The sequence below is a fragment of the Homo sapiens genome, chromosome 2 (genome assembly GCF_000001405.40).
Source record: "Homo sapiens chromosome 2, GRCh38.p14 Primary Assembly".
Classification (NCBI taxonomy): Eukaryota; Metazoa; Chordata; class Mammalia; order Primates; family Hominidae; genus Homo; species Homo sapiens.
The window spans coordinates 169717696-169732088 of NC_000002.12; the positions used below are offsets into that span (position 1 = coordinate 169717696).

General features: G+C 41.3%; 1 protein-coding gene and 1 non-coding gene across 3 annotated transcripts in view; both read left to right on the top strand.

Moving 5' to 3' along the window:
* The window catches only part of PHOSPHO2-KLHL23 (PHOSPHO2-KLHL23 readthrough), a 57410-nt gene that overhangs the window by 23227 nt on the left and 19790 nt on the right, over window positions 1-14393 (top strand). The window lies entirely within an intron of this gene.
* Window positions 10177-10308, top strand: LOC124900531 (small nucleolar RNA SNORA51). The gene has a single exon (XR_007088724.1). It is a non-coding gene; the product is annotated as a small nucleolar RNA SNORA51 (small nucleolar RNA).

Genomic DNA, 14393 nt, shown 5'->3' on the forward strand with positions numbered 1-14393 from the left:
GGCTCACCGCAACCTCTGCCTCTGGGGTTCAAACGATTCTCCTGCCTCAACCTCCCAAGTAGGTGGGATTACAGGCATGCACCACCGTGCCTGGCTAATTTTTTTTATTTTTAGTAGAGACATGGTCTCTCCATGTTGGTCAGGCTGGTCTTAAACTCCCAACCTGAAGTGATCCACCCGCCTAGGCCTCCCAAATTGCTGGGATTACAGGCATGACCCACCATGCCTGGCCTATTTTTATTTTCATAACTCTCCTCTGACCTACTCACAGGTCCTCTCTGACCTTCAAAATTGTCCCTGAACCAGACAAAGTACTGTATGCAAGGGTCAAGTCACTGATTATCCTTTTCATTTTCCTCTTATAAGCATTATCTTTCTCCTCTCTTCCTTTTTTTTATTTCCCATCAATGTATTAGGATGGTATTTCTCTGGGAATCATGTTAAAATGCCAGTTCTCTTTCAATAAGCCTGGGGTGGGACTTGAGATTCTGCCTTTCTAACATATCCACAGGTTATGTTGATGCTACTCCCTGAACCACACATTCAGTAGCATAGTATATTCCAGTGAAATGTGCTTTGTTAAAAAAGTTTTTTAAATAACCTCTTTCCCACAACCCTAAGTAGTAGCAATCCACAGAATTGTGAGTGTTGTACTGGACCCGTATTAACCTAATAGTGATGGCACTGTGTTTGGGAGACAGAAGAAGAGACCCAGAGCCAGCAAACAAGACATGGGGTTTCACTGGAGGCTTACCTACAGGGGACAGTGTGCAGTGGCGGCAGGCCGGACAGGATATCTGCATAGCCCAGTGATGGCGGGCTGGGCAGAAGAACTGCAACTGCTTGCAAAACACATACAGTTTATATACCATTTTCACCTAGCACCCTCCCCCTAACAACCTCCACCTGGCAACCTCCATTTAACCCAAAACAAAGGGCCTCAATGTGGCCGGGCGCGATGGCTCATGCCTGTAATCCCAGCACTTTGGGAGGCCGAGGCAGGCAGATCACGAGGTCAGGAGATCGAGATCATCCTGGCTAACAGGGTGAAACCCCGTCTCCACTAAAAACGCAAAAAAATTAGCTGGGTGTGGTGGCGGGTGCCTGTAGTCCCAGCTACTTGGGAGGCTGAGGCAGGAGAATGGCGTGAACTCGGGAGGCGGAGCTTGCAGTGAGCCGGGATCGCGCCACTGCACTCCAGCCTGGGCGACAGAGTGAGACTCCGTCTCAAAAAAAAAAAAAAAAAAAAAAAAAAAGGATAAAAAACCAAAGGGCCTCAATGTAGTGGCAAGTTCCATGAGAGGGGCTGGGGACTCAGATGTTTCTCATAGACAAGGAATGGCTCTCCAGGTTGGCCACTCCCAGATAGCTTGGAACTTCCACGTGCATTCAGGTTCATCTGCCATAGAGGGCATTCTCAGTTATGCTTCAGTTATTGCATCAGGTATGTTTACCATACAGTGAGGTAGTGTACCCTTTTTCCAGGAATGCTCACAGGACATAACTAAATTGTGCATTGATACTACAAATACTTCATATACTTAGATGCCTCTTGATTAACTCATCCTGCTGAGTCTAGCACCATTTCCTATAAAGACATTAAGAACCTGAAAGCAATCTTGACTGGCCCATAGGTCAAGTCTGGGTGCCACTGAAATAATCTGAAAGTCAATTCAACCCTTAAAATTGAGTCCAACCATCCTGTCTAAATAAGCAGCCGAATGTGATGACTTTCAAGCTTACCTGCCACAGAATAACCTGCCAAGAATAACCTACCCCAGCTCCTGTGCCTACCCCAAAGAGGAAGTACTAGACACAGAAATAAACTGTTAGAATAGGACCTGGTATACTATGTGACTGAATGCAGGCTTTCTCAACTTTGGTACCATAGGCATTTGAGGCTAGATAATTTCTTTGGTGGAGGAGGATGGGGAAAGAGCTTCCTGTGCAGTGTAGGATATTTAGCAGCATCTCTGACCTCTACTCAATAGCAGAGCAGAGCAGTTGCTCCCCCCACCTCAAGTTATAACAACTAAAAATGTCTCCAGATACTGCCACATATCTCCTGCACAATAAAATTGCCCTTATTTGAGAACCCACTTACTTAATGCTTAAAAGTCCACTTGCGGATCAAGTGAAGTTACAGCAATTGTACATACTGTATGTATATATTAAATAATGGCTTCTCTTTCCTATAAAAAATTTTTGTTATCAAGTTCATAGCCTTGTCACAGCATAGCAATCATCATTTGAGCGTTTAACAAATATTTTTGATGCCTAACTCAGTCAAAAGTTAGGCATTTTTTTGGTAATGCCTACTTTTACTTCTTGTGCTAGATACTTCTTGTGTCAAGTACACATTAGATTACTTTCCTACCTAGGTATTATATATGTATTATGGCTACATCTATTCACTTAAATCTGCTTTTTTTTTTTTTTTTTGAGATGGAGTTTTGTTCTGTCACCCAGGCTGGAGTGCAATGGTGCAATCTCGGCTCACTGCAACCTTTGCCTCCCAGGTTCAAGCGATTCTCCTGCCTCAGCCTCCTGAGTAGCTGGGATTACAGGCCCATGCCACCACGCCTGGCTAGTTTTTGTATTTTTAGTAGAGATGGGGTTTCACCATATTGGCCAGACTGGTCTCGAACTCCTGACCTCAGGTGATCCACCCACCTTGGCCTCCCAAAGTGCTGGGATTACAGGCATGAGCCACCACGCCCAGCCTTAAATCTGCTTTTAAAAGTCTTTTGTAGCACAAGCTATAATCATATCTCTATTCTCCTTGTTTTTTAATGCTATATTTGATATCCGTTTACTTTTACAGCATTTGAATGTTTTAGATCCTGGTTGAAACTAGCCCTGAAGAAGAATTAGATATTTCTCTTTACAGTCTTACAAACTCCTTTAAGGGACAGCCGATAGATTGATGAGATGAGGTACAGATGAGGTACACCATGAGATGGGGTACAGTGACTCTGTTAATAATGTGAGCGGTGTTGGACTTTATAGCAACCTCACTACTCGATACTGGATAATGCTTTTTTTTTTTTTTTTTTTTTTTTAGAAGATGGAAGAGTCCATTATTGACCTAATAACCCCAAAGTACATCTTCAGATGAGAACAGTTGTAGAGGACATGTGGTTAATAATGAATTGACCAAACCCTTTTACCTAATACCCTACATTTTGTGTAACCTGTTGGATTTCTTTTTTAGGTGGACAGTGTGGTAGTTACGTTGTAAATAGATTTTTTTAGAGACAGGATCTCTGTCTGTCACTTAGGCTGGAGTGCAGTGATATAAACACGGCTCACTGCAGCCTCAACCTCCTGGGCTCAAGTGATCCACCCACCTCAGCCTGCTGTGTAGCTAGGACCACAGATATGTGCCACAATGCCTGACTAATTTTTTCATTTTTGTGTACAGATTTGGTCTCGTCACATAGATTTTTAGATGTGCTCTGCAGGGCATATGGAACAATATGTTCTGAGCCAAAAGCTAAATCTATTCTACTTGTTTGTGTTGTACAAAATAATGTCTGTGTGATGATGGTTCATATGGAAACAAAATATTAACATGGATGTTTCCCAAAACAGAATTCTCCAAAACTCCCATTGTTTACGGAAGATGTTACTTAGCAAAAAAAATTAGTTTCTCATTTATATCTAAATAATAAATTTTCAGTCGTGTAGCTAAACAAATACCAAAAAAATATTTACAATTAAACTAAATACTGGTTGCTGCATGGACATTTATAATCAGTGTAAAATGGAAACCTTGCTCATTCACATTTTTTCTGCCACTCTACAGTTATACTCTGGATTTTATTACATACTGCTATGGTTTGAATGTGTTCTCTCCAAAATTCAGGTGTTGAAACTCAATGGTTGATGTGATAGCATTAAGAGGGAGGGATTAGGCCTGGTGCGGTGGCTCACGCCTGTAATCCCAACGCTTTGGGAGGCCAAGGCGGGCGGATCACGAGGTCAGGAGATGGAGACCATCCTGGCTAACAGGATGAAACCCCGTCTCTACTGAAAATAGAAAAAATTAGCCGAGCGTTGTGGCAGGCGCCTGTAGTCCCAGGTACTGGGGAGGCTGAGGCAGGAGAATGGTGTGAACCCGGGAGGCGGAGCTTGCAGTGAGCCGAGATCGCGCCACTGCACTCCAGCCTGGGCAACAGAGCGAGACTCTGCCTCAAAAAAAAAAAAAAAAAAAAAAAAAAAAAAAAAAAAAAAAAAAGAGGTAGGGCTTTCAGGAAGTGATTAGGTCATGAGGGCTTCTCCACTCGTGAATGGGATTAAGGCCCTTTCAAAAGAGGTTTCACACAGCACTAAGCTAGCTTCCACCATGTAAAGGATGGCCTTCCACCTTGAGAGGACACAGCATTCCTCTCCTCTGAAGGATGTAGCAATAAGGGCCATCTCAGAAGGAGAAAGCAGCCCTCACCAGACAATCAAACCTGTCAGCACCGTGGTCTTGTACTTCTCAGTCTCCGGAACTGTGACAAAATCTATTTCTTTTCTTTTCTTTTTTTTTTTTTTGAGACGGAGTCTCGCTCTGTCACCCAGGCTGGAGTGCAGTGGCCCGATCTCGGCTCACTGCAAGCTCTGCCTCCTGGGTTCACGCCATTCTCCTGCCTCGGCCTCCCGAGTAGCTGGGACTACAGGCGCCCGCCACCGTGCCCGGCTAATTTTTGTATTTTTAGTAGAGACGGGGTTTCACCGTGTTAGCCAGGATGGTCTCGATCTCCTGACCTTGTGATCCGCCCGCCTTGGCCTCCCAAAGTGCTGGGATTACAGGCTTGAGCCACAGTGCCCCGCCAATCAATTTCTTTTCTTTATAAATTAGCCAAATTAGCCAGTCTCGGTCCTCCCCTCCCCTCCCCTCCCCTCCCCTCCCCTCCCCTTCCCTTCCTTCTCCTCCTCTCCTTTCCCTCCCTTCCCTCCCCTCCCCTCTTTTTTTTGAGATGGAGTCTTGCTCTGTTGCCCAGGCTGGATTGCAGCGGCAGGACCTTGGCTCACTGCAACCTGCGCCTCCCGGGTTCGAGCGATTCTCCTGCCTCAACCTCCCAAGTAGCTGCAACTACAGGCACACACCACCACCCCTGGCTAATTTTTTTGTATTTTTAGTAGAGATGGGGTTTCACCATGTTGGCCAGGCTGGTCTCGAACTCCTGACCTCAGGTGATCCATCCACTTCGGCCTCCCAAAGTGCTGGGATTACAGGCGTGAGCCACCACGCCTGGCCAGGTATTTTCTTATAGCAATTCCAAAAAGGACTAAGACATGTACCAAAATCACAACTCTTTTCACCACCAAATTTAAGCAATATTTTATTATCCTCAGTTCAATATGAAAGTATATTCTTTGGGGGATTTATTGACAACTTAGCTCTTTTCACATTTAAATCCAGAACACTATCGTGTTCCACAATTTTTAGTATTGAAAATACTTCATTCAACAAATATTTTTGGGTACCTACTATGTGCAAAAAACAAAATAAACTGTGGAAGTATAAGAAGTGTAGGATTATATCTTACGAAGAATGATGTCCTTCAAAGAATTTACAATTTGATTGAAGAGGTGGGATGTGAACATATATAATACATAATACCAAGATATGCTTCATAAACATCTTAGTAATCATCACACTAACAAAAGTACTTGAGAGGAAAAGATGATTACAAAGCATTGAGTTTTGTAATCAATCAGTTAATTGTAAAATAAGAGAAGCCTTATGAAAGAGGTAGACAGTGGTCCATGCCTTAAAGCAAGCTTATCCAACCCATGCCCGTGGGCTGCAAGTGGCCCAGGATTGCTTTGAATGTGGCCCAACACAAATTTGTAAATTATGTTAAAACATTATGAGAGTTATTTGCTTTTGTTTTTTTTAGCTCATCAGCTATCATTAGTGTTAGTGTATTTTCTATGTGGCCCAAGACGGTTCTTCTTCCAGTGTGACCCAGGGAACCCAAAAGATTGGACACCCCTGCCTTAAAGGATAAGAAGCATTCGGATAGATGAAAAGGACTCCACAGAACTTTCCAGATGATGGAAACAATATGAACTGAAATGGGAGTGAGCACAGATTGTTCATCAGGTAGTGATGAGGGGGCTGGCTTGATGAAGTTAAGGGTTTAAACCGGGGAGTAGCAGAATAAAGCTTTGTAAGTGGAATTTGGCCAATTTATGGTCTGGTTTGAAACCCGATTAGAGGAGTTTGAACTTTTTCTTGGTAGCACTTACGAGCAAGTAAAGGGAAGTGATATGGCCGGGCACGGTGGCTCACACCTGTAATCCCAGCACTTTGGGAGGTGGAGGCAGGTAGATCACCTGAGGTCAGGAGTTCGAGACAAGCCTGGCCAACATGGTGAAACCCCTAATTCAAAAATTAGCCAGGCGTGGTGGCGCACACTTGTAATCCCAGCACTTTGGGAAGCTGAGGCGGGAGAATCACTTGAACCCGGGAGGTGGAGGTTGCCGTGAGCTGAGATCATGCCACTGCACTCCAGCCTGGGCTACAAGAGCGACATTCTGTGTCAAAAAAAAAAAAAAAAAAAATTGGGTGGGGGGATGTGATGTGAGGAAAATGGTGTTTGGGGAGGATTAAAGATGGTATACAACTTCAGAGGGAAATAGAGAGACTGAGACAGAAACATCTTGCAGTAAACCAGATGAGAAGTGATAAAGACCTGGATAAGAGTGATATCAGAGGGAATGAAAATGAAGGGATGGATAAACCCAATGCTTTGAATTTGAAAAATGAAAAACAGCACAAAACTTTTAGACCATATGCTGCAGGAGGGCAGAGTCTGTGGATTAAGTCACTTTTGCAATTTCTTAAACAACTATGTGCCCTTGAGCAAGTTTTTAAAGAAACTGAGTCTTACTCTTAATCCAGTCGTTTTCATTTACACAACAAATATTTGTTTGTTTGTTTGTTTGTTTTTTGAGACGTAGTCTCACTCTGCTGCCCAGGCTAGAGTGCAGTGGCACGATCTCGGCTCACTGCAACCTCAACCTCCCTGGTTCAAGCGATTCTCCTGCCTCACGCCTCCCAAGTAGCTGGGACTACAGGTGCGTGCCACTAAGCCCGGCTAATTTTTTGTATTTTTAGTAGAAATGGGGTTTGACCATGTTAGCCAGGATGGTCTCGCTCTCCTGACCTCATGATCCACCCGCCTCAGCCTCCCAAAATGCTGGGATTTCAGGCATGAGCCACCATGCCCAGCCACAATATATATTTCTTGAGCATCTGTTACATGTTTTGAACTATATATAGCAATGAGGAAAACATGAAAATCACTGCTTTCACGGAGCTAACATTCTAGTGGGAGAAACGCAATAAGCAAAATACATAATATAAATGGTAATAAGTACTATGGATTAAAATAAAGCAGGGAAGGGGAATAGAGAATAGCAAATTGTAGTAGCAAAATCTTTTTTTTTTTTTTTTTTTTTTTTGAGACAGAGCCTTGCTCTGTTGCCCAGGCTGAAGTGCAGTAGTGCAGTCTTGGCTCACTGCAACCTCCACCTCCCGGGTTCAAGTGATTCTCCTGCCTCAGCCTCCTGAGTAGCTGGGACTACAGGCATGCACCACAACGCCCAGCTAATTTTTGTATTGTTAGTAGAGATGGGGTTTCACCATGTTGGCCAGGCTGGTCTTGAATTTCTGACCTCAGGTGATCCGGCCGACTCCACTTCCCAAAGCACTGGGATTACAGGCATGAGCCACCATGCCCGGCTGCAAAATCATTTTGAACACATTGGTAAAAGAAGGAATTGCTGGGAAGGTGGCATTTGAGCAAAAACCTGATGGAACCCCACAAGCACAGACAACTAAAGCAAAAATGGATAAGTGGGATCACATCAAGTTAAAAAGCTTCTGCACACCAAAGGAAACAATCAACAAAGTGAAGAGACACTCCACAGAATGGGAGAGAATATTTGCAAACTATCCATCTGACAAGAGATCAATAACCAGAATATATAAGTTGCTCAAACAACTCTATAGGAAAAAATCTAATAGTCCGATTTAAAAATGAGCAAAAGATCTGAATAGACATCTCTCAAAATGAGACATACAAATGGCAAACAGGCATATGAAAAGGTGCTCAACATCATTGATCATCAGAGAAATGCAAATCAAAACTACAATTAGGCAGGGCGGGGTGGTTCTCACCTATAATCCCAACAATTTGGGAGGCTGAGGTGGGTGGATCACTTGAGGCCAGGAGTTCAAGACCAGCCTGGCCAACATGGCGAAACCTTGTCTCTACTAAAAATACAAAAATTAGCCAGGTATGGTGGTGCATGCCTTTAGTTTCAGCTACCTGGGAGGCTGAGGTGGGAGAATCAGGGAAAATCGCCCGAGGCTATAGTCGAGGCTGAAGTTAGCTGTAATCATGCCATTGCTCTCCAGCTTGGGTGAAAGAGAAAGACCCTTTCTTTAAAAACTCTTAAAAATAGAACTACCGTGTGATCCAGCAATCCTGCTGCTGGGTACTGCTGCTGGGTATATACCCAAAAGAAAGAAATCAGTACATTAAAGAGACATCTGCACTCTCATGTTTGTTGCACCATTGTTCACAATAGCCAAGATTTGGAAGTAACCTAAGTGTCTATCTATAGATGAATGGATAAAGAAAACATGGTACATATACACAATGAAGTACTATTCAGCTGTAAAAAAGAACGAGATCCTGTCATTCGCAGCAACATGGATAGAACTGGAATGTCATTATATTAAGTGAAATAAGCCAGGCACAGAAAGACAAACATCACATGTTCTCACTTATTTGTGGGAGCTAAAAATTAAAACAATTGAGATAGAAAGTAGAAGGAAGTTTACCAGGGGCTGGGAAGGGTAGTGGGGGACTGTGGGGATGTTTAATTGGTACAAAAACTAGTTTAAAAGAATAAATAGGACCTAGTATTTGCTAGCACAACAGGGTGACTATAGCCAATAATAATTATACATTTTCAAATAACTAAAAGAGTATAATTGGATTGTTTGTAACACAAAGGATAGATGCTTGAGGTGATGGATACCCCATTTACCATGATGTGATTATTACACATTGCATGTCTGCATCAAAGTATCTCACGTACCCTATAAATATATACACGTACTATGAACCCACAAAAATTTTAAAAAGGCAGGGTGCAGTGGCTCATGCCTGTAATCCCAGCACTCTCGGAGGCCGAAGTGGGAGGATCACTGGAGGTCACATGTTCGAGACCAGCCTGACCAACATGGCAAAACCCTATCTCTACTAAAATACAACAATTAGCTGGGTGTGGTGGCATGTACCTGTAATCCCAGCTACTCGGGAGGCCTAGGCAGGAGAATCACTTGAACCTGGGAGGCAGAGGTTGCAGTGAGCTGATATCACACCATTGTACTCCAGCCTGGGTGACAGAGCAAGACTCTGTCTCAAAAAAAAAAAAAAGAAAATTAAAAAAAAAAATCCTAATGGAGGTGAGAGAGCCAGTCCTGTAGTGGTAGCTGGGAAAAGAGCAGTCCAGGCGAAAGGAATAGCTAGTAGCAAAGCCCGGAGAAAGCCCTGAGGCACCGCCTCCTGGTGAGAGGCAAAGCAGAGCTGGATGTGGGGATCCAGGAGCCTGTTATAAGTACTCTGGCTTTTACTGAATGAGCCAGGAAGTCTTTGGCGAGCTTTAATCTCTGACTTATAGAATAATATCAGTCTTTCTTGGGTTAGTTGAGCCAATGCTCTTACTTGTATTCTTTCTCCATCGCTTATAATGGAAAAAGCCCTAGTTTATTATCCTTCTGTCTTGTATTAATTTTATCTGGGATTGAGCTCTGTGGCACAGAAACATATTCTCAAATAAACTGCTATCTTTTAAATAGTAATAATACTCCCTCAAACAGTAATAGGCTAATTCCTGTTTTGGGACCAGATCAGTGGTCTTTCAAATCTAATAAGTTTGAAAAACTATGTACTCACTTCCATATTTTTAAATCGATATTGGAAACTTTTCATCACAAGTTTAAATATTTGCCAAGGTTGTAATTTCTAACATGTTATAAATAATGACTGTTAAATAATACTTTTAAATCTATTTAGTAAAAACTAAATATAGCCGTTCAAAACCACTGTCATTCATTTAAAAATACATAAACAAGTTGTTCTTTAAAAGTGGGAAATTTTTGGCTTCCTAGTACTTACCATGGTCTGTGTTCTTACGCTGACTGTATAGAAACAGGAGGCAGAGTAAACCGACCCCACATATACCTCAGCCCAGGCCCTGTGCTGCGTCTGTATTGTGAATCAGGAGACATGGAGTTCAGAAAAAAAAACTATTGGAAGTTTTTATTTTCTCATTTTTAAAATTTAGTTCTCAGTCTTCTTTCTTCTTGAGTTCGTACTTCCATTCTACTTCTCTTAGAGAAGGTTGTCCCACTGAAAATACAGGCAGTCCTCACTTTGCACAATAATACAGGACCTTCAAAATAACTGTACAAGTTGAAAATGTATAATGTGATCTAAATAATCAATGGGAAAAATTATGATTGTCCTATGACCTTTACATTTTTTTGTCACAACATTATGAACTCTCTTACTATTCGTTAAAATGTATAGGGAAATAAAGAACATGGTAAGACTGATATTTACTTAGTATACTGCAATTTAAAACATTAGAAACATTGATAAAGTGTTATGTTTCTTTGTAAACACTTAACAATAGTAGTTCGCTTAGTTTCTTGCCTTCTTGTCATAAAACTTATGATTTGGCGTACTCATCTTTCTACGCCTTGATGGACTGTCATAGTTTTACGTTTGGATCAACTTCCAATGTGTTATCCTTTGCATTTTCGATGTGGTGAAATATCTCCAAGAGTTCCTTTAATGTGAAGTTTTTTGCCAGGATCACTTCCTTTGAGACATAAGGTGACTCACTTATGTCATGAGTTCACCTGCACTAAGTTCCCTGGCTGCATATCTGAATTCTCTCCAATGGTGGTAGTGTAAACATTCCCATGGTCAGCTATTTCCTCTATAACCTCATTGTGTTCATTTCACTTTTTTTTTGTTGATTTTTTTAGACGGAGTTTTGCTCTTGTCACCCAGGCCGAAGTGCAATGGCACAATCTTGGCTCACTGCAACCTCCGCCTCCCAGGTTCAAGTGATTCTCCTGCCTCAGTCTCTGAGTAGCTGGGATTACAGGCACCCACCACTACGCCTGGCTAGTTTTTGTATTTTTAGTAGACACAGGGTTTCACCATGTTGGCCAGGCTGGTCTCGAACTCCTGACCTCAGGTGATCCGCCTACCTTGGCCTCCCAAAGTGCTGGAATTACAGGCGTAAGCCACCATGCCCAGCCATTTCACATTTTATTTGCGGTATTGTCACTTTTTATTTCCATGCCATACTTTCATCCTTGTTGGTCAATACCCTTTCTCAATCACCCATTTTTGTAAAATGTCACATGGGTTTTTTACTAGCAGACAAGGAGACAATGCAACTGCAAGCCTTACTGTCTGTATGTGAACTGACAGATGCACAGAGATCAATCACTGACAGACTTTGAAAGAAGATACATGATTGGTCACTGATCAGGATGCGCATTTGTTAATGTAGTAATTCATGGACCTGAGGAGCTAGCAGCAAATTTGTATTTTATGCAGTTACTCAGAGTTAATTTACTTCAGTAACTGAAATTTGAAACCTTGTTCTCAGGGGACAGGTGTTATTTAACTAAACCATGGTAACTAAAATTCATACATATTGGAACCATTCAAAGAAAGCATTTTTGGCCAGGCCAAAAAAAAGAAAGACTTTTCTGTATGGTTTTATACTGAATATCTTTTATTAATCTCTTAACCTTCTCTGTGACAAAAATGTGTATAAATTACAATTTGTATGTCCTTGATGGTTTTATATCTTTGGTTATTTTACAAATCCTGGTCTAATTAATATTATAATTATTATTATAATTAATTAAACATAAATATGTTTAAATCAAAAGTAAAAAATTATTAAAAATTATTTCAATCTGATGAATAGGGCTACTTTCATTTAGAGTATGAAGTCAAGTAGTGCTTACTGCTGGAATGAGACAGTATTTAGGTTCAATAATGTTCCTGCTTAACATTTCTATAGACATAATCGCTGAGAAAACATGTTCACAGAGACAAATAGGTAAGAATGAGATAAATTTTATCATAGTGGCCGGGCGCGATGGCTCATGCCTGTAATCCCAGCACTTCGGGAGGCTGAGACAGGTGGATCACCTGAGGTCAGGAGTTCAAGACCAGCCTAGCCAACATGGCAAAACCCCATCTCTACTAAAAATACAAAAATGAACTGGGCGTGGTAGCATGCACCTATAGTCCAGCTAATCAGGAGGCTGAGGGAGGAGAATCTCTTGAACCTGGGAGGCAGCAGTTGCAGTGAGCCAAGATTACACCATTGCACTCCAGCCTGGGTGACAGAGTAAGACTCCGTCTCAAAAAAAAAAAAACAAACAAAAAACCTTTTTTATAGTAATGCCATTCATTTTGTCATTCCCTCCAAATTATTTGCCAAAAATCCTCTTTCACTTTTGCTGGAAACCAGGAATTGGAAACCTGTGACTTGCAAAAGCATTTTTACCTAGTTATTAGAATGTTCACTTTCTTATTTTACAGGAAACATACCAAAAAAGGTTTTACCAAGACACATCGGCTGCAGGGCAGCCACAGATACCTGCGTTGGTTGTGTACTATACAACTCCTGAGAGCAGTGTTTACACTGTACTCTACTTAAGTTGCATGAGCTGGAATTGTGCAGTGCACAATTTGCAAAGCTGTATGTGGTAGCCTTATACATTTTACCTACTATTGTTTTTTATTTTGAGACGGAGTCTCACTCTGTCGCCCAGGCTGGAGTGCTATGGCGCAATCTTGGCTCACTGTAACCTCCGCCTCCCAGGTTCAAGAGATTCTCCTGCCTCAGCCTCCTGAGTGGCTGGGATTATAGGCGTATACCACCACACCTGGCTAATTTTTGTATTTTTAGTAGAGATGGGGTTTCACCATGTTGGTCAGGATGGTCTTAAACTCCTGACCTCATGATCTGCCTGCCTCGGTCTCCCAAAGTGCTGGGATTACAGGCGTGAGCCAATGGGCCTGGCCTTTTTTTTTTTTTTTTAACTTGGCAGCAACTTGTTTAATCCAGTATGTAAATGAAGTATACAAAATGTTCTATCTATGCCCATCATCTACACACATTGTTAATGATATCACAGCATATCAAACATTTAATGGCATGGCTGTACTTAGTGGAAAGATGTACTAATAAGGTAAAAATTATAAATAAAATCATTATTTTTAGAACTCGGAGTCCTTTGAAAGCTGAAGTGTGATGTCAATAAGTCATCTAACTCCATGCCAAGCTTAGTATCTGCCAAATCATTTATGTCTCATTTCCATGGCAGCACTTTATTTCTTTAAGACTTGGAACCACAGATGGCACATCTGTTTTCTTGAACGGTATCATTAATTTATTTGATTTATGAATGCTAATTATATGTTTCTGAATGCATCAAATCTATCAGCATTTGCAATGGTCTCTTTGATAAGCACATGGTAAAGAGGAACTATGCCAGGCAATACCCTTCAGGACCTGCTCTTCTCTTAGCAAAGTGAAGCAGTATAATAGTCTAATATGTAATATACACTGATATACACTTTTAAGTAGTAATTCACAACCAGGGAACATCACGAAATGAAAGCAAGAGTTTTAGTTGGTTCATGCAGCCATCTGAAATAACTGCATAAATGAGAATATAGTGAATTCTATTATTCATGAATCATTTATTATTACATGTAGTTATGATTCCAGAAGCCCTTACTCCAAGTTAGATGGAGCCTATATTTTTTTATACATCAAACTTGGCAAACAGTAATTATAGCTGCAAAAACAGCCATCTCTACACTTCAGTGACAAAAATGGAGAGAAGTCTCCTTCAATCAGTCACAATTGTGTCCTTGAATGGCAACAGTGACAACAGCATCACTATCAGTTATGAAGGGCAAGCTATAATTACTATTAACTATGAAGTTCATAATTTCTGAAGAAATGTTAAGAAGATGCTAATTTCCAAATTAAGGTTGTGATGCAGAATTAAGTGTAAATATTCTTTCATTATAGTAGCTAACATTTATATATCAAGTCCTAAGTGCTTCATTATTAATTTGTCTTTCCAATAACCTTAGGTTAGGTTGAGAAAGTATCCATGTTGTCTGTGTTTTACAGATCTGAAGACGAAGGATCAGAGAAGTTTAGTAATTTGTGAGAGGCTATATGTTGGATAAGTGGCAGAGATGAGCCTTAAGCCCGAAACTAAATCTCATATGCTTTCCTTTTCTAACTATACTGTTTAC